This window comes from Homo sapiens, chromosome 3 (genome assembly GCF_000001405.40).
Source record: "Homo sapiens chromosome 3, GRCh38.p14 Primary Assembly".
NCBI classification, from domain to species: Eukaryota; Metazoa; Chordata; class Mammalia; order Primates; family Hominidae; genus Homo; species Homo sapiens.
In genome coordinates, this window is record NC_000003.12 from 186,497,589 (window position 1) to 186,518,413 (window position 20,825).

General features: G+C 45.8%; 2 annotated features.

The window, feature by feature from the left end:
* Positions 13,349–13,438: an enhancer, noted in NCBI's record as "active region_20938". NCBI's record gives its function as "activates an Ori minimal core promoter by ATAC-STARR-seq in GM12878 lymphoblastoid cells {active_cell/tissue: GM12878}" and the evidence as "EXISTENCE:reporter gene assay evidence [ECO:0000049][PMID:35858748]".
* Positions 13,999–14,428: an enhancer, noted in NCBI's record as "active region_20939". NCBI's record gives its function as "activates an Ori minimal core promoter by ATAC-STARR-seq in GM12878 lymphoblastoid cells {active_cell/tissue: GM12878}" and the evidence as "EXISTENCE:reporter gene assay evidence [ECO:0000049][PMID:35858748]".

Genomic DNA, 20,825 nt, shown 5'->3' on the forward strand with positions numbered 1-20,825 from the left:
AGTTTTACATCATCCAAATTGCCCCTCCCCCCAGTCCAGGCAGCAGAGGGCAGAGAGATACCCTCTATGTCGGGGAGGGAGAGGGAAGTGAACACCTGACTTTGCCTTGGGGCCTAACACTGGGCCCTCTCAGTAAAACTCAGTACCAGGCAGGACTCCACAGCCCAGCCTCCAGGCCAATACCCATGGACTAAGCCTCCAAACCAGCCCTGGTGCCAGGAGGGATCCTGAAGCCCCAGGCTCCGGGCCTGCATAGTGGAATGTCTCTAGGCCCGTCCCACTGCCAGGCTGACCCCAGTGGCCCCAGACTTTGGGACTACCTAGCACCAGGCCAACCACCACAGACTCAATATCCAGACGCAGTGGCCCTGGACTCTGGACCACCCTCAGCACTAGGCTGCCTCCCACAGCCCCAGGCTTCAGGCCTGCCCCAGCACCAGGTTGACCCCAGAGCCCTAGTCATCAGGTCTTCACCTATAGACCCAGTCTCAAGGCTGGCCTTTGTGTTCATAAGTTCTTATCATTTAGCTCTCACAAGTGAGAAAATTTAGTATTTAGTTTTCTGTTCCTGTGTTACTTTGCTAAGGATAATAGCCTCCAGCTCCATCCATGTTCCTGCAAAAGATAGGATCTCATTCTTTTTTATGGCTGCATAGTATTCCATGGTGTATGTATACCACATTTTCTTTATCCAATCTGATATTGATGGGCATTTAGATTGATTCCATGTCTTTGCCGTTGTGAATAGTGCTGCAGTGAACATTTGCATGCATGTGTCTTTATGGTCGAATGATATATATTCCTCTGGGTATATACCCAGTAATGGGATTGCTGGGAGGAATGGTAGTTTTACTTTTAGCTCTTTGAGGAATCACCATACTAGTTTCCACAATAGTTGAACTAAATTACACTGTCACCAATAATATATAAATGTTCCCTTTTCTCTACAACCTCACCAGCATCTGTTATTTTTTGACTTTTTAATGATACCCATTCTGACTGGTATAAGATGGTATCTCATTGTGGGCTTGATTTGTGTTGTTCTAGTGATTAGTTATATTGAGCTTTTTTCATATGATTTTTGGCTACATGTATGTATTCTTTTGAGAAGTGTCTGTTTATGTCCTTTGCCCACTTTTTAGTGGGGTTGGTTGTTTTCCTCTGGTAAATTTGTTTAAATTCCTTATAGATGCTGGATATTAGACCTTTGTCAGATGCATAGTTTGCAAATTTTTCTCCCATTCTGTAGGTTGTCTGTTTACTCTGTTGATATTTTCATTTGCTGTGCAGAAGCTTTTAAGTTTAATTAGATCCCACTTGTCAATTTTTGCTTTTGTTGTGATTGCTTTTGGTGTCTTTGTTATGAAATCTTTGCCTATTCCTATGTTGAGGATGGTATTGCCTAGGTTGTCTTCCAGGGTTTTTATAGTTTTGGGTTTTACACTTAAGTCTTTAATCCATCTTGAGTTGATTTTTCTGTATGGTATGAGGAAGGGGTCCAGGTTCAGTCTTCTGCATATAGCTAGCCAGTTATCTCAGCACCACTTATTGAATAGGGAGTCTTTTCCCCATTGTTTGTTTTTGTCAGCTTTGTCAAAGATCAGATAGTCGTAGATGTGGGGCCTTATTTCTGAGCTTTCTATTCTGTTCCATGGGTCTGTGTGCCTGTTTTTGTGCCAGTACCATGCTGTTTTGGTTACTGTAGCCTTGTAGTATAGTTTGAAGTTGGGTAACATGATGCCACCAGCTTTGTTCTTTTTGCTTAGGATTGCCTTGGGTATTTGGGCTCTTTTTTGGTTCCATATGAATTTTTAAATAGATTTTTCTAGTTATGTGAATCATGTCATTGGTAGTCTGATAGGAATAATATGGAATCTATAAATTGCTTTGGGCAGTATAATCATTTTAATGATATTGATTCTTCCTATCCATGAGCAGGGGGTGTTTTTCCATTTGTTTGTGTCTTTTCTGATTTCTTTGAGCAGTGTTTTGTAATTCTCTTTTTTTTTTTTTTTTTTTTTTTTTGGGACAGAGTCTTGCTCTGTCACCCAGGTTGGAGTACAGTGGCACGATCTCGGCTCACTGCAACCTCTGCCTCCTGGGTTCAAGCAGTTCTGCCTCAGCCTCCTGAGTAGCTGGGACTACAGGAGTGTGGCACCATGCCCGGCTAACTTTTGTATTTTTAGTAGAGATGAGATTTCACCATGTTAGCCAGGCTGATGTCAAACTCCTGACCTCAGGTAATCCGCCTGCCTTGGCCTCCCAAAGTGCTGGGATTACAGGCATGAGCCACCACACCTGGTCTGTAATTCTCATTGTAAAGATCTTTCACCTCCCTGGTTATCTGTATTCCCAGATATTTTATTCTTTTTGTGACAATTGTGAATGGGATTGCCTTTCTGATTTGGCTCTCGGTTTGGCTGTTGTTGGTGTATAGGAATGCTAGTGATTTTTGTACATTGATTTTGTATCCTACAATTTTGCTGAAGTTGTTTATCAGCTGAAGGAGCTTTTGGGCCGAGACTATGGGGTTTTTTAGTTACAGAATCACGTCATCTGCAAACAAAGATAATTTGGCTTCCTCTTTTCTATTTGGATGTGATTTATTTCTTTCTCTTGCCTAATTGCTCTGGCTAGGACTTCCAATACTATGTTGAATAGAAGTGGTGAGACAGGGCATCCTTGTCTTGTGCTGGTTTTCAAGGGGAATGCTTCCAGCTTTTGTCCATTAAGTATAATGTTGGCTGTGGGTTTGTCATAGATGGCTCTTATTATTTTGAGGTATGTTCCTTTAATACCTAGTTTATTGAGAGTTTTTTTAACTTGAAGCAGTGTTGAATTTTATCAAAAGACTTTTCTGTGTCACTGAAATAATCATGTGGTTTTTGTCTTTAGTTCTGTTTATATGATGAATCACATTTATGTTGAACCAACCTTGCATCCTGGGGATGAAGCCTACTTGATCACGGTGGATTAGCTTTTTGATGTGCTGCTGAATTCAGTTTGCAAGTATTTTGTTGAGGATTTTTGCATCTATGTTCATCAAGGATATTGGCCTGAAGATTTCTTTTTTTGTTGTGTCTCTGCCAGGTTTTGGTATCAAGATGATGCTGGCCTCATAGAATGAATTGAGGAGTCCCTCCTCATCTATTTTTTGGAATAGTTTCTGTAGGAATGGTACTAGCTCTTCTTTGTACATCTGGTAGAATTTTCTTGTGAATCTATCAAGTCCCTGGCTTTCTTGGGTTGGTAGCCTATTTATTACTGATTCAATTTTAGAGCTCATCATTGATCTGTTTAGGGAATGAGTTTCCTCCTGGCTTAGTCTTGGGAGGGTATACGTGTCCAGGAATTTATCCATCTCTGCTAGGTTTTCTAGTTTGTGTGCATAGTAGTTTCTGATGGTTGTTTGTATTTCTGTGGGGTCAGTAGTAACGTTCCCTTTGTCATTTCTAATAGTGTTTATTTCAATCTTTTCTCTTCTTAATTAGCCTAGCTAGTGGCCTATTTATTTTATTATTTTTTTCAAAAAAACAACTCCTGGGTTCATTGATCTTTTGAATGGCTTTTCGTATCTCAATTTCCTTCAGTCCAGCTCTGATTTTTGTTATTTCTCATCTTCTGCTAGCTTTGGGGTTGATTTGTTCTTGCTTCTCTAATTCTTTCAGTTGTGAAGTTAGGTTGCTAATTTGAGATCTTTCTAACTTTTTGATGTGGGCAACTTTTAATGGGCATAGGGATTACCTTGGGGCCATTTTAAAATGTGGATTCCTGAACACTCCCCTGGAGATTCTAAGCTGAAACCGACATGACCCCTAGGCCAGTGAAAAGCACGAGGAAGAGGACAGAGTACCGGGAGAGTCCCTGAAAGACTTGGAATCTGGAGCTTGCTGGGTGAACAAATTGTGTGATTTGGACAAATTCCTTCACTTCCCTCTTGTTATATAAGGAAGTTGGATGGGATAACCCCAGCGAACCCTCCAGTTCTGACATCCCAGGGTTGTGCCATTTGACAAGTTCCAAATACTCAGAACCCTTGGTTTGGCTGAGAATACAGATGCAAAGTGTCTGAGGGCATTGGCCACATTTACACCCCCTAGCACAGGGTTCACTAGACAATATTCTCTCCTGCAGAAGGGCATGGAGATGAGTCCCTGGCCCAGTCAGAACACCTCATGCCAACTGGTGCTTTTCCAACATGTATGCCCTTCCCAGAGGCTCTGAGAACAGAGTGCAGTCTAGGGGCCTGTCTAAATGGGTTGGGCTCTTCAGACTGAAGTGCCATATTTCTTCTTTCTCCCATTGGCATGCCTTATTTCTGAGGATGCTCATTTATACACCTGGGAGAGGATCAGCCCATAGATATAAAATACAGGATTTTTCAAGGGATGAGAAAAGACAGGGTCCTGAGGAAATCAGCTCTGGGCTGGAGAGGTGGAGCATTTCTCTCTTTCCCCTCTGAGCCTCAAGGCACCATGGAGAGGAGAAAGGCTTTGGGGTCAGATTGAATTCCAATCCTGACTCTGCCACTTACTACTGGGGGTAATCCAAGTAACTTAACTGCTCTGAGTCTCTGTGTTTTCACATCTGAAAAAAATGAAGTGGCAATAATCAAGTTTATCTGCAGGGTTGCAGTGAGAATTAAATCTGATTACATACATAAAGGTGGCTGGCACTTAGAAGGGACTCAGTAATCCTCACCCCTCACTTCACCGCCTCGAGCTCTTTCTTGCTGCCATCCTTTGCCTGGGGGAGGGTGTCTGTACCTAGTCCCTGCAGGCTTAGGAGTCATCAAGATAGAACAGGGGTTGGGGGAGGACTCCTTCCTTCTTTAGTATTATTGAAGGATATTCAAAAGAAACATTTACACCAAAAGTGACTCTGAGGAAACAAAGGGAAATGAACAAAGCAAATATAAATCCATAAAATGAAATGCAGATTACAGCTTCTACAAGAGCCTCTGATAAACTCCCCACAGTGGCCAGAAACAATGGGGCCAACTGGAGCTGGGAGCCTGTTCCCAGCTGAAAATTGAAGCCCTGTCTCTGCAGTGGAGCCTCCTCTGCCTCTGGATTGTTTTCTCAGCCTAAGGAAGGTGGGAGGTGCCGAGAGTTGGAGGCACAGAGAGCACTCCAACTTGTCCGTCAGCTTTGCAGCTCCTCTGTGGCTCCTGCCCAATGCACATTCCCCCCTTCAGTCATCTCTACCCCACTGAGGTCCTCTACAAAGAATAAAACCACAGCCCTGCCTTTGCAGAGCTGCACGAGGCTGCACAGAGCCTGTCACCACTCTGGGCTCAGAGGAGACTTGCTCCTACTTGGGTGGGTGTTGGACAAATAGCAGGAGTTAAGAGGCTACCACTGCTGTCTTTTCTGCATCTGAGCCAGGTCCTACAGCATGGGCTTCTGGGGATGTCAAAGTGTTATCAGAAAGGGATCCTGATCCAGACCCCAAGAAATAGTTCTTGGATCTTTCTTGTACAAGAAAGAATTCGGGGGAAGTCTACAGAGTAAAGTGAAAGCAAGGTTATTAGACAAGTAAAGAAACAAAAGAATGGCTACTCCATAGTCAGAGCAGCCTTGAGGACTGCTGAGTGGCTCTTTCTATGGTTATTTCTTGATCGTATGCTAAGTAAGGGGTGGATCATTCATGAGTTTCCCGGCGAAAGGGGAAAGGAGTTCCCAGAACTGAGGATTCCTCTTCCTTTTAGATCATATAAAGTAATTGCTGGACATTGCCGTGGCATTTATAAACTGTCATGGCACAGGTGGGAGTGAATCTTAGTATGCTGATGCATTATAATTAGTGTATAATGAGCAGTGAGGATGATCAGAGGTCACTTTTGTCACTATCTTGGTTTTGGTAGCTTTTGGCTGGCTTCTTTACTGTATCCTGCTTTATCAGCAGGGTGTTTGTGACCTGCAGCTTGTGCCAACCTCTTGTCTCATCTGTGACTAAGGATGCTTACCCTCCTGGGGCTGCAGCCCAGCAGGTCCCAGCCTTATTTTACCCAGCACTTATTCAAGATGAGTTGCTCTGGTTCGAATGTCTTTGACAAAGGGACAGAGAACAAAATTAGTGGGATCCAATCCTGGAATCTCACAGCTCACAGCCTACCACCCATACTCAGCCCTGGGAGAAGTGGGGGGCTTGGAAGGAAAGCACTGAACAGCTGGTATGTCAAGGGAGGGCCAAATCAAACAATAGCCATTGCCTGAGCTTGGGACAACCAAACTGAGCCCTGACCCTTAGCTCCCTAGGACTGGAGGAAGAGTGAGACCCTCAATATCTAAAAACTTCCAGAGCAGACAAGCAGGAGTAACACCACAATGCAGGCTGCCTTTACTGACACAGTAAAGGTTAATAAACCCTCCTGGGCTGAGGCCTGAGGAGGGTGGCCAGGATCTGCTCAAGGATCTGGAAAAATTGCCAGTTAATGATTTAAGAAGCTGAGGGTGCTTAGTAGGGAAAGAAAAGCTTTAAGGACACCTGGATTTATAGATGTGAGGGTTCATCTGCGGAAAAGGAATTTGCCATAATTAGGGGATGCGTTTAGGCAGAACTAGAGTCAGAGGGTAGAAGTCACAGGAAGAATTTCCATCACTGGGAGTGGCCAGCCATGGAGCAAGCACGGGATTGAGGTCTTTAGAAGGATGACCTGTTTGGATTTGAAACAACAATGCCCCAAGTGAGATATGTTGGTGGATGTTTTACCGGTTATGGAGCCAACAAGGGACCCAGTGAGCCCTCTTCAATATTTTGAGCAGGCTAATGATGCATAGGGATGGTTTAAACACATATGTGTAGGCTTTCCAAACAGAACACAAAAACCATCGGCTCAGCGAGTCACCATGCAGATCCCTCCCCCATGAACAGCGCCAACTCTGGGTTTTCAGAGCTTGCCAAAATGGCTGTAGCTCTCAGCTTATAGGTATCTCTGGTCAATGCCTGATAATCTGATGCACTGCCTGGACACTCCCTGGGCCTGGGAACATGCTACCGGATCACAAGAAGTGCAATCATGCCCCAGTCAATGGGGACACAGCCTGACTCGACCAGAAGGAACGGATGGTGGGTCCTAACACCATGGCAGATCTTCCTTCTTTTTTTTTTTTTTTTTTGAGATGGAGTCTTGCTCTGTCACCAGGCTGGAGTGCAGTGGCACAATCTCAGCTCACTGCAACCTCCACCTCCCAGGTTCAAGTGATTCTTCTGCCTCAGCCTCCCGAGTAGCTGGGACTACAGGTGCCTGCCACCATGCCTGGCTAATTTTTGTATTTTTAGTAGCTATGGGGTTTCACCATATTGGCCAGGCTTGTCTCGAACTCCAGACCTCGTGATCCACCCGCCTCGGCCTCCCAAAGTGCTGGGATTACAGGTGTGAGCCACTGCGCCCAGCCTCCTTCCTTTTTTGAGTCAGGCTCTAGTTCAGTGGGCCCAGCTGCTTGTGCAACCCACCCTCATCCTGTCTGGATTCATACTGTTTATTGTCCCCTGTTGGAAAGCCTAATAATGTACAAATAGAAGGGAGTCCCACAAAGCAACCAGTCTAAATGGCTGCTACTGCCCGCTTCCTCATCATTGCTTTCTCTTGGCTCTTGGCTGGGGCTTGCTCTCTTATCCTTCAGAAAATTAGCCCTGAACTCAACCCCCAGAACTGTTGTATCTTTCCATAATCCCAAACGAAAACGTCTCCTATCAGGTTGGATTTTAGACCAGATATAGGGAGAAAGACGCTGTTTCTACATCAGAAACAACAACTAATAGGAAGAACTAACCATTTATCATACTCAGAGGTCTACATCCTTATCTCATTCATCCCTCGCAACAATGCTTTTATGGGAAATATTCCTCTGGCCCTTTGTAGCAGGATATGAAACTTCCATTTGTTTTGTAAGACACCTCAATTTGTGTGCACCTTTTCTTTGCTCCATTGAACGTTATCATCTGGCTTTCCCCAGGATGAGATCAAACATTTTCTGAACCCTCCAGAGAGGAGAGATAAGATAGCTATCCTCTGTGAATACTAACTCTTTGTGCCTTCAAAGATGAAAGATTCTGATGTTTTTCTTTTATTAAATAATTACGAATTATTTGAGCTCCAGTTTTTATGGACGGGGTTTTGTGTGTGTGTGTGTGTGTGTGTGTGTGTGTGTGTGTGTATTTTCACTTTGGCTATCCAGCATTCTTTTCTTAATTGAAAATATCCTAGGGCCGGACATGGTGGCTCACAACTGTAATCCCAGCACTCTGGGAGGCCGAGGTGGGCGGATCACCTGAGGTCAGGAGTTCGAGACCAGCCTGGCCAACATGGTGAAACCCCATCTCTACTAAAAATACAAAAAAAATTAGCTGGGCATGGTGGCACATGCCTGTAATTCCAGCTATGGGGGGAGGCTGAGGCAGGAGAATCACTTGAACCTGGGAGGCAGAGGTTGCAGTGAGCTGAAATTGCACCACTGCACTCCAGCCTGGGCGACAGAGCAAGACTCCATCTCAAAAAAATAAAAATAAAAATAAGTAAATAACATCCTAGTTTCCTTTTAGGAAATCCTCTCCCCCATTGTTTTCAGACTGGTGTATGACAGATTGGTGTGTCTTGCCCCCAAATAACAGAAGCAGAAGGGTTACTGTGGGCTCCTTTCATCGGATTCCTTCTCTCTCATCCCAGTACAGCCATGTGGGCATGTGACCTAAGCCCAACTAATAATATTCTCCCCTGGGACTTTGAATGTTGAGCAGAGTAACACAAAGATGCCAAGAGGGGAGAAGCAACACCCTGTCAAGTACATCCTGTCCTGATTTCTTCCTGTTTCCAAGCAGTCTTCCAGACTTCCCAGCACTTCCATGAACTCTCTGATAACTTTCTAATAAATTTCCTCTTCTGCATAGATCATGTTTTAGGACTTGGCCAAAACCAAGGACGACTTCCTTCCCTGGCATTCTTTGAATTATTTAGAAATAAGCAACAAGATAGAAGAGTCAAGTCACCAAGAGATCAAAAAGTCAAAGGACTTTTCTGCTATCTCCCTTATTCTCCCTCAAGACATGGCTGCTTAATGACGGGCTAAGAGAAGAACTTCCTCTATGTATTCAAGTAAGTGCTGAGGAATCAGATCAGACAGCTTGCAATCCATCCTCATTATTCCCATGAGTGGTACCTTCATATTGCTTGCAATAGCCCTAAGTATGTTTCCTATGCAGCCTTGAGGTGAGACAGAGTTTCACTCCACATGCCCATGATCCACAACCCGGGGTCATGCTGTGAATCAGTGCTCTGCTCTGCTCTCACTCAGCCTCATCTATGAGGATACCCTTATGGGGCTCTCAGAACAACAGGAAGACCAGAAAAGGCATGTACCCCAAGGGGTGGTGTAGAAGCTCTTGTGCTGAGGCTCAGTTGCTGAACTGAACCCTCTGGAGAGGCAAGAGCAGAGCCAGTGGGACCGTGGAGCCCCCTGACTCATAGCTAAGTGCATAAGCACAGGTTGAGGGTCGCATGACTCACCATGTTCAACAGAAAATGAGGTTTTAGACAACTCAAGACCCATGGGGTGATATGACTCCCAATAAGCTCAGTCAATCTGGAGAGTCATTTTGATGATGTTTGGAATACTGGGGCCAGCTCTGTGCCCCCACCAAGGCACTTCAACACCAGGAGATAGAGGGAAATCAGAAACAAAGAAAGAGAAGATTCAGATGGAGAGGAAGAGTCAAGTGGGCAGCTAGCTGAAGCACTAACACATCTAAGAGGGACTAGAATCTTTCTGCATCATAGGGCAAAACTGAAACCGATGGGTAGAAGTTCTAGGGCAGCAGATTTGGATCAGACTAAGGAAAATCTTTTTTTTTTTTTTTTTGAGATGGAGTCTCGCTCTTTTGCCCAGGCTGGACTACAGTGGCGCTATCTCGGCTCACTGCAAGCTCTGCCTCCCGGGTTCATGCCATTCTCCTGCCTCAGCCTCCCAAGTAGCTGGGACTACAGGTGCCCGCCACCACGCCCGGCTAATTTTTTTTTGTATTTTTAGTAGAGACAGGGTTTCACCGTGTTAACCAGGATGGTCTCGATCTTCTGACCTCGTGATCCACCCGCCTCAGCCTCCCAAAGTGCTGGGATTACAGGCGTGAGCCACCGCGCCTGGCCAGGAAAATCTTTTAAACCAAGCAGTATAGCAGCGACGTAGGCTACTTCTCGGAGGCTGACAGAATAGTGGACAAGAGTCTTGCGTTAGGAGGCAGCAACCATGGACAAGTCCCAGCCCTACTGTATAACAGTCACATGACCTTTGTAAGTTACCGAGTCTTTCTGTTCTCATTTGTAAAGGGAAGGAAATAATAGTACCCACCTCTGAGGGTATTTGTGAGGGTTAATATTGCTGTACTATGGCACTGACCAATTGCCATAGAAGTGTGGAGAAAAAACATTTTCCAACTGGAAGCGGTCCTAGAAAGGCTCAATATAGCTTCATTGAATAGTGCCTGATATATACATATACTGATCATCAAAGTGCTAGATATTAAGGAGGATTATGCTTGTGAAGTGATCAGCACCTCATTGCTGGAAAAGGTTAAACCATGGCTGCAAGACAAATGTCAGGGATGTTAGAGGCCATTCCCACACTGAGTGGGAGATGGGACCACACCATGGCTCAGAGAACAAAGCAAGAGCTTTGGTGGTAGACAGCTCTGGTCACATCGTGCAGCTACCACTGGCACACTGGGCAAACCACAAGATCTCTAGGTCTCAGTTTTCATATCCATAAATAAGGCTGATATGTCTCACTCCACAGCACAGCCACAAGGATGAAATAATTATGTATACAGATGTGTTATATTATTTGCACTTGTTTTGTATTTTTAAAACCCCCAAATACAATAATAAAAGGCAATTATAGAATGATCACCTATGTTTGGTCCCTGGCACCTAAAGGGGTAGCATGTGTATGATGATCATTCTCTGCCCTTCGCCCTGAATGCCCTGCAGTTCCCCGGACACCGGAGCTGGTCCTAGGCTGCCTTCTGGTGGGACTTTTTGTCCTTTCACAGTGGCTGCCCTCTCCTTCCAGGCCGCTTTGTGTGACTCACCGTTCTTTGCAATTAACTGTGATGTTCTGCTGGAGGCTTCCATTAGAAACGACGAGAACAGCTACTTTGGCCTAAACAGAGTGTGGTGGGCTTGATTGTTTCACCTCACGATTTATTGCTAAAGAGACAGAAGATGGGCCCCTGGGCAGGTCATGGCTGGCCTGAGTCCTTCCCGCTGCACAAGTTTGTCCTGTGATCTGGGTCCCCATGGCATATTCAGTCCTGAGGGCCAGGCCTGCACACTCACACAGGCTCAGTGGCACCTGGCTAGACAGCAGGAGCCAGGAAGCGAGGCTGGTTCGAGGAGGTTGGCAAGGAGAGAAATATGGTTTCTTCTCTGGGAGTTTGAATCCCATTTAATTCAGGAAGCTTTAATTGAACACCTACTCTGTGCCAGGCACACTGGGGGATCAGATGTGAATTAAAGCAATCCTCACTCCCTAGAAACTTAGAATTTAACAGAGATGAAGGCAAATCTATGACCAGTCCTGAGCCTCTAGTATGCCACTGAGCAATTATCATAGAAATATAGAGAAGGATGAGATTTTGCAACCAGAGGGGGCCCTAGAAAGGCTTCACACAGCTGCCATTTGTTGAGTACCTACTATGTGTAGGATACTCCCCTTGTTTAATCTATACAACTCTGTGAGGAATGGGATTATTGTCACCCCTATGTTGCAAATGAAGAAACTGAGGTTCTGAAAGGTTAAATAACTTGCTCAGAAGTCACATAGCCAGTAAGAGGTACAACCAGGACAAGATTCTGAGTCTGAAACATGTGCTTTTTCAAGAAGGCCAGGCTACCTACTTCTTAGAGGAGGCTGAATTTGTCCTGGGCCTGAAATAAGGCTGATATTTTGTCACACAGCTCTGAGTGGGGAGGGCCTTCCTTCTGCTTCTGCTTCTAGGCAGGTACAAACCGCCTGTTCTGAGACACAGCTAATGTCCTTTCATCTTCTTCCCACAGGGGACCAATAAAGCCTGAGAGTAGGCTTGGGAGGGGCCACATTCCTCCCAGGAGGGGCTAGTTCCTCTCTCCAGCCTCTGTCTGTGATTCAGCCCTAAATACATAACCTAAATACGTAACTGTCAATTCAAATAATACCTGCCCACTGGAACCAACAACCTGGATTCATTTCACACCTGCTGGGAGCCATTAGTGGCACAAACACATTCTTTACATCACCCAAGGCAAGTTTGTTCGCAGTCATAGCAGTTTAGACTACAGCGCTGGAAGGCAATGGAGTGCTTAGAGACAACCAGGTTCGAGTACCTCTTCTCACAGATCCACACTGAGGTACAGAGAAGGGAAGGGGCTGGCCTGAAGGCTTCGAGGAGAGACATAAGAAAGGACACCATCTTCTCCGTGCTCCACACCTGTTGGGAGGAGCAGGATGAAGATTCACTGAGCACTATTTCTGAGTCTGCAGGTATTTGCCCTTAGTGTTGTGCTATCTCATTCATCCTCATCATAGCTCTGATTCGAGGTCCCTGCACACCCTTTCCAGATGGGAAGCCTGATAAGCTGAGGGGTCCTGGGAGGTGTCCCAGGTCACATGAGAAGAAGCACAGCCAAGGTGGGAGCACACACCTGCTGGCTCCAAAATCCCACCATGGAATGAAAGGAGGCAGTTGTTCCCCTCTCTCTTTGAACTTGCAAAATGGGGTTGGGTTGAGTTTGGACCCAGGGGGTCTATGACACAGTTTCTCCAGCTCGGAGGGGCCCAGCCCTGGCCTTTCCCATGGTGTGTCTTCTGAGCTGCGTGAAATAATGTCCAGCCCTGGGCAGGCATGAAGTGACATGCAGAGGCTGTGGAAAGTGTATCTACATTTCGTGCTTTGTTCCTAAATGACTCATGCAGCCCACAGAACAAAATTAATGTCTTGTCCAGCACCAGCAAATTGCATTTCTTTCTTTGAAAAATCAGTCAGGCTGCAAAGGGCCCTGGTTTATTCTGGGGACATGGAGCCATCCTGTGGCTGCTTCCACTGGACAGGCTGGAAACAGCAATCAGGCCCCTCGGAAGGGCCCCTTCCAGAGGTGGTCTAAGCCTTGTGCTCTGCTCCGGCCAGACCCTCTGCTCCTGCCAGTGACAGGTTGTTACACCCTTGTCTCCTCTGAACCGATGTTCCACATATGATCAAGTGCTTTCCAAGCCCCCGTACCACTCCCCTCACACGGCCCCTCTCCCCTGCAGGTGGCAGACTTACTCATTCTCATGCTTCAGCTCCAGGGGTTCCCCTGTATGAGTCTTCTCTGCCCGCTCCCACACCCCAGGTAGCATTGCCCCTGCTTGCTTTGTGCCCTCACTGTCTCCACATATATACACATCTCTTACAATAATATTAAATACCAGCCAACATTTATATAGTACTTCTTATGTACCAAGTACTGTTGTCTATCTATCTATCATCTATCTATCTATCTATGTACACACACACTCATATTATCTTCACAATGCTATGAAATAGGTATTATTGCTGTCCATTTTACAGATGGGGAAACCAATCTATAATTGGTTTAGTGAGATTTACTGAGCATATCTACAGGTATTTGTCCTTGGTTATAGGAAACCAATCTGTCACTGGTTTCCCCTTCTGTAAAATAAGTTAAATAATTTGCTTAAGCTCACTCAGATAGTGTGTGGTTGAGTCATAATCTGAGCTACTCTCTGGCCCAAACTGCTTATTGTAACCACCACATCATATGGCCACTTCAGCACCAGTCACACCTCATTTTACTTGTTGATGTCTCAGTTTTCCCCTCTATTCTGCGGGCTACTTGAGAAGACTTCTGTCTTCTTCCTCTAGGTATCTCTGTGCTTGACTCAGTATCGAGACCATAGGTGTGTGGGTGGGGTTAATCCACACTTGCTGAACACATGTGTCCGTGCCCAATGTCCCTGTGCATAGTGGCTACTTCCCATGGTTCACACGCATCTTCATGGCTCTTGTTTCTTCCATTCACCCATCCCATGTCCCTGGCCCTGTTCTCAGTGCTGAGGATGGAACCTCATTGCTGCTGCTTCCAGCCCTGGCCCTGCCCCTGTTTGGGGCTCAGTGCTTCATCCCGTGGAGCTCAAGGGGTGCTGTGGGTACTGACAAACTTGTACCCCATTCCTAGTTCAAATTTTTCTTTGCCTTTCAAAGGCACTTGGTGTGTGTTCATACATTCAACTAATAATGTTTGGATATCCACCACACATCAGGCACTGTTCTAGGTGCTGAAAACACAGTGCGGGGACAAGAACAAGGTCCCACCATCGTGGTGTCACATTCTGCTTGGGGAGACAGACAGTAAGCCATCAGCAGCTGAGTAGTAATACAGTGCCACGTGGTGGTCAGCACCGTGAAGAAGAAAGCCAGATAATGGCAGAGAGTAAGGGGGTGGTCAGGGAGGGTTGTCTCTGAGGATGTGATATTTCAGCAGAGACCAGATGAAGAGAGGGAGAGAGGGAGGCTGATATCTGGGGGAAGAGTGTTCCCTGGCAGAGGGAACAGCAAGAGCCAAGGCTCTACAGTGGCTCATATGGGGAGAGATTGAGAAAGCGTGAAGCCCACTAATGCAGGCGCAGAGTGAGACAGGACAATACAGTAGCAGAGCCTGGAAGTCCTCAGGGGGCATGGAGAGCCTTTGCAATTTTATTCCCAATGTGTTAGAAACATCTCAGAGGGGCTTGTGCAAGGGGCCGGCACAATCTGTGCCATGTTTTAAAAACTTGAAAGCATGAGTTTATGTATGTGCTGTCCCCCTCAGTTACGAGATCAATAGTGGCGTTTTTAGTGATGTTTTCTTAGGAGTTCTTTCTGTTGCCACTGCTATTTCTCAACACCCCCCTCTCTCCAAAGCCCACATTGTTTCTCTCATGGACTCAACTGGCTTCAACTAGAACTTACAGTCTAATAAGAGACACAACCAAGTAAACATTGGACTGCTGGTGATATGAACTGTGATAGGGCGGCTTTGGGGACTGTGGAAGCACAGAAAAGGAGCTGCTCAGACACAGAAAGCCAGGGATGGCTTCTGGAGGCCAGGGCATCTGACATGAGTCCTGAAGGGTGAGGTCAGCCGCATGAGAATGCTCTAGGCAGGGGAAACCACGCATGTGAACTGAGAAACCGTGACGCTGCTGTCACAGTGGCCTTGCCTGGGTCCTTAGTTCCCTCACCCCCATATCCTTCAGTCCCCACCTAGGCAACTCCAGTGCTAGCCAGGCTGGGTAAATCCTCTTCCACTGCTGAACACTGCTGTAGAAATTTGCCATCCCTGGTTCCAACACAAACTCACACTCTAATCCCAGCTGGATCTTTGGCCATTCGGTACTCCTTCTTTCCATGATAATTAACTGCCTGCCACATTCCCAGCAGCACGTATTCCAGGCTTCTATTTTCTTCCCACCTACCCCACTCACTGAGGGTGACCTGACCTCCTATTATGATGTGCCTCCCACTCCTCCTCCCACTGTGATCTCCACCTCAAAGAATGTTTGTCTTCAACCCCATCTCCTTCAAACGATCTCAGAAAGAGATACGATTATTCTTTTTGAGATTAACCCCTTGGAAAAAAAATTGAGCATTTATTTTGCCTTGCCTGGATTGTATTGCAGGGTAAGCAAAAAGCCCAGGTTGATAAGGGAAAGTTCTTTTTCATAAAAGCTTAAAAATTTGAATAGAGTGCAGAAGTAGAAAGTCATCTTTTTGCAATCCCATTTGGTTTAGGCAAAAATCATAAGCAGATGAAACAATCAGACGGTTTATTAATGGGGGACTTTCCATGGAGAGATAAAGCTGCCACAAGCTGATCCTGCTGCTCAGTTTTATCACGATCGCTAACAATGGCATCAACAATGCTATGGGTTTGCCGATGAGATGAAATATACAATGGGTGGCACTTTGCCTGCACATTGGAATTGTCTGGGGAGCTTTAACTACTGATGTCTGGGATCCATTTCCACTGATTATGATTTTAAATGCCTGGGATGTAGCCTGGGCATAGAGATGGTTAAAAACTGCCTCCAGCTGATTCCAATGAGATGCCAAGGTTGAGACCACTGCCAAATGAAGTACAAGGCTTCAGTGTGAACTGTGCTAGCTCCCGCAAGAGTTGAGTCTCATCAAGCCTTTCAAGTTCATCTGTAGCTGAAAATATTTTGGGGCATAGGGAAACAAGTTAAGGGACAATGTGAGGAAGACAAATCCAGAGTGTAGCTCGTTCTGTCCAGCAATGGACTCACTGTATTTTTTCAATAATCCAATACCTTTAAAAAGGGGAGGAGGGACAGTTACAAATTAAGAGATTCAAAGATATAAGAACCAAATGCAGGATTTTGGATCTCGAATGGAACCAATCATTTTTATACAACTGGGGAACCTTGATTATGAACTGGATATTAGATGCTACCAAAGAGTTAATGCTAATTTATTAGGTATGTAATGACATAGTGTTTATGTAAGAAGTGTTTTTTAAATCCATGGTTTTTTAGGTGTAAAGGGGCAGAATAATAGGGGGGCTAGGATTTACTTTAAAACATTTCAACAACAACAAAATGAAGCAAGTGTGACAAAATTTTAGGAATTACTAAATCTGAATGATGAGCATATGCGTGTTCATTATTTGAGTTTTTCATTTTTATAATAAAATAAAACAAGTGAAGCCCTCTGCATTTCTAGTGTGAGATATCATTAGTACTAGTATTATTACATCTGTTCCCTCACTTCATGATTGCCGCCGTAATCAGCAGCAGCAATAGCACCAGTCAGGTGTGATTGGGACTGTGCTGGTGCTGTAATTCCCCTGCAATCCAGTAGGGTGGATGTTGTTATCCTTGCTGTACAGATGAGAAAACTGAAGTTCAGAGGGATTAGGTCACTTGTTCAACATTGCCTGGCTAGTAAGGGGCAATCAGGATTAGAAGGCAGATGTAAGAGCCTCTGATCTTCATCACTATGCTCTGCTATTGTCTTCCCTCTTTCTCCTTGGCTCATCTCCTGTCTCTCCCTCTCCACCATCTCCTTCCTCTAGGCTCCTTCCTCCTGCAAGAACATTCCCTTCCACCCACCCCTTCTGTGGCACAGTCATTTCTTTCTTCTCTTCCCTCCCCCACACTGCTGGGAACAGTCATCTACACTTACCTGCCTTCTCATCCTCACACCCATTCATTTCTTAGTTTCCCATACTCTGACTTCTACTACCCCAAGTTCATAAAGACCTCATGAACACAACCTGGAGAACGCCCTCAGCCTCATCTCACCTCCCTGCAACACATGGCTCACTTGTCTGCTTCTTCCTTCTTAGAGTCCTCTCTCTGGTTGACCTGTCAAAGATGGGATTCTCCTGTTAACGACCCTGACTCCTTTGTCTCCTTCTACAAAGATAATGCACTGACTTTCCAAATGTACTAACTAGTATGATCATCACTGTCTACTGTTGCATCGAACCACTACTAACCTCAATAGGGAAGGCACCAGGTTCAAGAGGCCAAAGAAGAGACCCAGAGCCAGCAAATGAGACATGGGGTTTTATGAGGGGCTCACATAGAGGGGAGAGAGTCCAGTGGCAGTGGGCTGGGCAGGAGAACCACCTTACACGTGGTCCAGTGGTGGGAGGCTGGAAAAGAGATCTGTCTTGCCTACAGTTCAGTGGTGGCGGGTTGGGCAGGAAAACCACAACTGCCTGCAAACATCATGCAGTTTACATAACATTGTCACTTAGCAGCCTCCCCTAACGACCTCCACCTGGCAATCTTCATTTAACCCAAAACTCAAGGCCTCAATCCCCTGTATGGACCATGTTTCATGGGACAGGCCAGGGGCTCAGAAGTTTATCATAGATAAGGAATGAATCTCCGGGTTGGCCACTCCTGGATTCCCTAGCTTGGAACACACATTCAAGTGTATCTGCCATTCTGAGTGTATTCTTCAATTATTGCTGTCAGGTGTGTTGACCCTCTATCTACATAAGTATTTCTCAAACCAGGGCCCTACGATCAGCATCAGCATCACCTGGGGTATATGTGAAAAATGCAGCTCCTGGACCCACTCCTAACCTTTTGAATCAGACTCTCAAAGTTAGGTATGCATTTTTAATAAATTCTCCAGGAGATTCTTCTGTTCCTAGAGTAACAGTGCTTTCCCGGTAGCCCAGCCTTTCCAAGGCCTCCACCTGCCACTGGCAGGCTGATGACTCTGAATGCTGCAGATTCATTACAGTCTTCAGGCTTCTCTCTTGAAACCCAGTCTCCTGTTCTACTCCGTCCTCCTCATTCCCCACATATGATCCATTGCTCCACCCTGTTAACTTTGTTTCTGGGCCATTCCTTGTATCCACCATCTCTCATTGTCCCATTGGGCCCCACTGCCCTGCCCTTGGTGAAATTCTCACCCTCCCTCACCTGGTCTGTTGTCTTAGTTTTCTGAGAGGTCCCTTTGTCCCCAGACTCCCCCATCTACCAACTGTCCTCCATATCCCTGCAAGCATGTGCTACAGCGCTTGTCTAATTATATGGATTTCCCAACCCTGCAACATGCAGTGGTCCCCTACGGCCTGTTGAGGAAAATCCACATTCCTCCATGGCCCCACCCCCACCTACCTGCACAATCTTATCTTCCCTTTAGATTTAAAATGATCAAGACTAATACTGCTTTTTATTCTCCACACACATCAGTGCTTTGCTCATGAGGTCTCTCTTTTTTTTCTTTTTCTTTTTTAGATAGAGTCTTGCTCTATTGCCCAAGCTGGAGTGCAGTGGCATGATCTCGGCTTACTGCAACCTCTGCCTCCTGGGTTCAAGTGATTCTCCTGCCTCAGCCTCCCAAGTAGCTGAGATTACAGGCACCTGCCACCATGCCTGGCTAATTTTTTTTTTATTTTTAGTAGAGAGAGGGTTTTGTGATTTTGGCCAGGCTGGTATCAAACTCCTGACCTCAAATGATCCACACTCCTTGCCCTTCCAAAGTGCTGGGATTACAGGCGTGAGCCACTGTGTCCAGCCAAGGTCTCTTCTGCCAAGTATGTTTTTCTCCTCCTACCTTAGATGTGAAAATATTTTCCATTGGTGGCAGCTAGGCTCCAGCAAGCCTCCCCAGAGAACCCTGTTTTGTGGTCATGGTGCCATCATGGAATCCCCTCCCATTTGAATCTAGCTCCACCAATAGCATGCAGTGGAAGTGATATTGCGTAACTGCCCAGGATGGATCATAAAAAGACTCACAGCTTCTCCCTTGGCCTCTCAGAGTGCATGCTCTGAGGGAAGTTAACTACTATGCAAGAAGCTTGACTACCCTGAATTTGTCATGCTGTGAGGAAGCCCAGTTAGCCAAGTGGAGGGGGGCTATGTAGCGAGAGATACTCTGCCAGCCAACACTGCTCCAGCCATCCCAGAGGAAGTGCCAGACATGGCAGTGGCAAAGCCATTTTGGATGCCCAGCCCAGCTGAGCGTTTGGATGACTCCAGCCCCAGCTGTAACCTGACTGCAACTCGGTGGGAAACCTGGAATGAGAATCACCAGTTATCCCACAGAACTATGAGAGGGTATAATGAATCACTGTTTTAAGCCACCATGTTTGGGAGTGGTTTGTGACACAAGGATAGATTTCTGGAACAGCTTCCTTCTAAGGACAGGTCAAATACTCCCTCCACAGTGAAGGGATCCCCGAGCCCTTGGGTGGAATGAATTGCTGTCTTCCCTGTAGCCTTCACAGCTCTTGATGCCTGGCAGAGACTCACTGGGCTGACTCACAACAGTTGGGAAGGGCGAGGATTTTTGTCTTGCTCATCTATGTAGCTCTGGTGCCAATCACGGTTTGTGGCACGGAGTAGATGCTCAGACAATGTGTACTAAATTTAATTGATTTTCTTTCCTTTCTCTAGTCTCTCAAGGCAGATAGGCAGCCACAAGACCCAACAGAGATAATCAAGGAAACCTCAGAGTGCCTAGAATTGACTAGTGAGGCTGAATGTGCCAAATCAGTGCTGGAAAAGCTTTCCATAAGAGAGGAAAGAAAAACCTTTGAGCCAATGTTAAAAAAGCTGAACCAAAGAGGGATGGAGGAGGTTGGAAGTGACCATCACTCTTTGCTCATCAATAGCAGTTCAGTGTTTGTGGACCTGGTGCCTCCTGGCGAGGAGCATACTTCCCAACTCCCTGGACAGCTCCCATAGGTCCTGGGCTGGAGGATTCTAGTCCATCAGGGTGGCCCAGAGATATCCGCCACAGGCTGCCTTAGATGGATGCTACAAACACTTAGTTTACCAGATAGTGCCAGCCCAAGTCTTTTAATTATTGCTGAGTCTCAGCATCAGAAAGCCACCACAAGTGCCTCTTGTGGACCAGAAATAAATCTTCCATGTCATTATCCCCTCTTTTAAAGCACTCTCCAGGTCTCGCTCTAATCACCTCCATTCCCTTCTCATTAAACAACCCTCCCATCATTCTCATATTCTGCCAAATAATTTTAAGTGTGTTTTATGCAACTGCAGCTGTCACACTATACAGATGACAAAAGTCTCTACTTTGTTATAGGAGAAGAGTCTAATCAATGTGCCTTTATCCTAAGTGTGACTGTGGTGAGGCTCTTTCTAAGGAGTTGGCCTGTGAGACAAGTCGTTCTCCATCCTGGATGCATAATAGGATCCTGCAAAGCTTTGAAAATAAAACCTATGTCTGTTCTTAGCCCACATGATTAAATCAGAATCCCTGGGCACAGGGTCTAGACATCAATAGCTTTTCAAAAGCTCCCC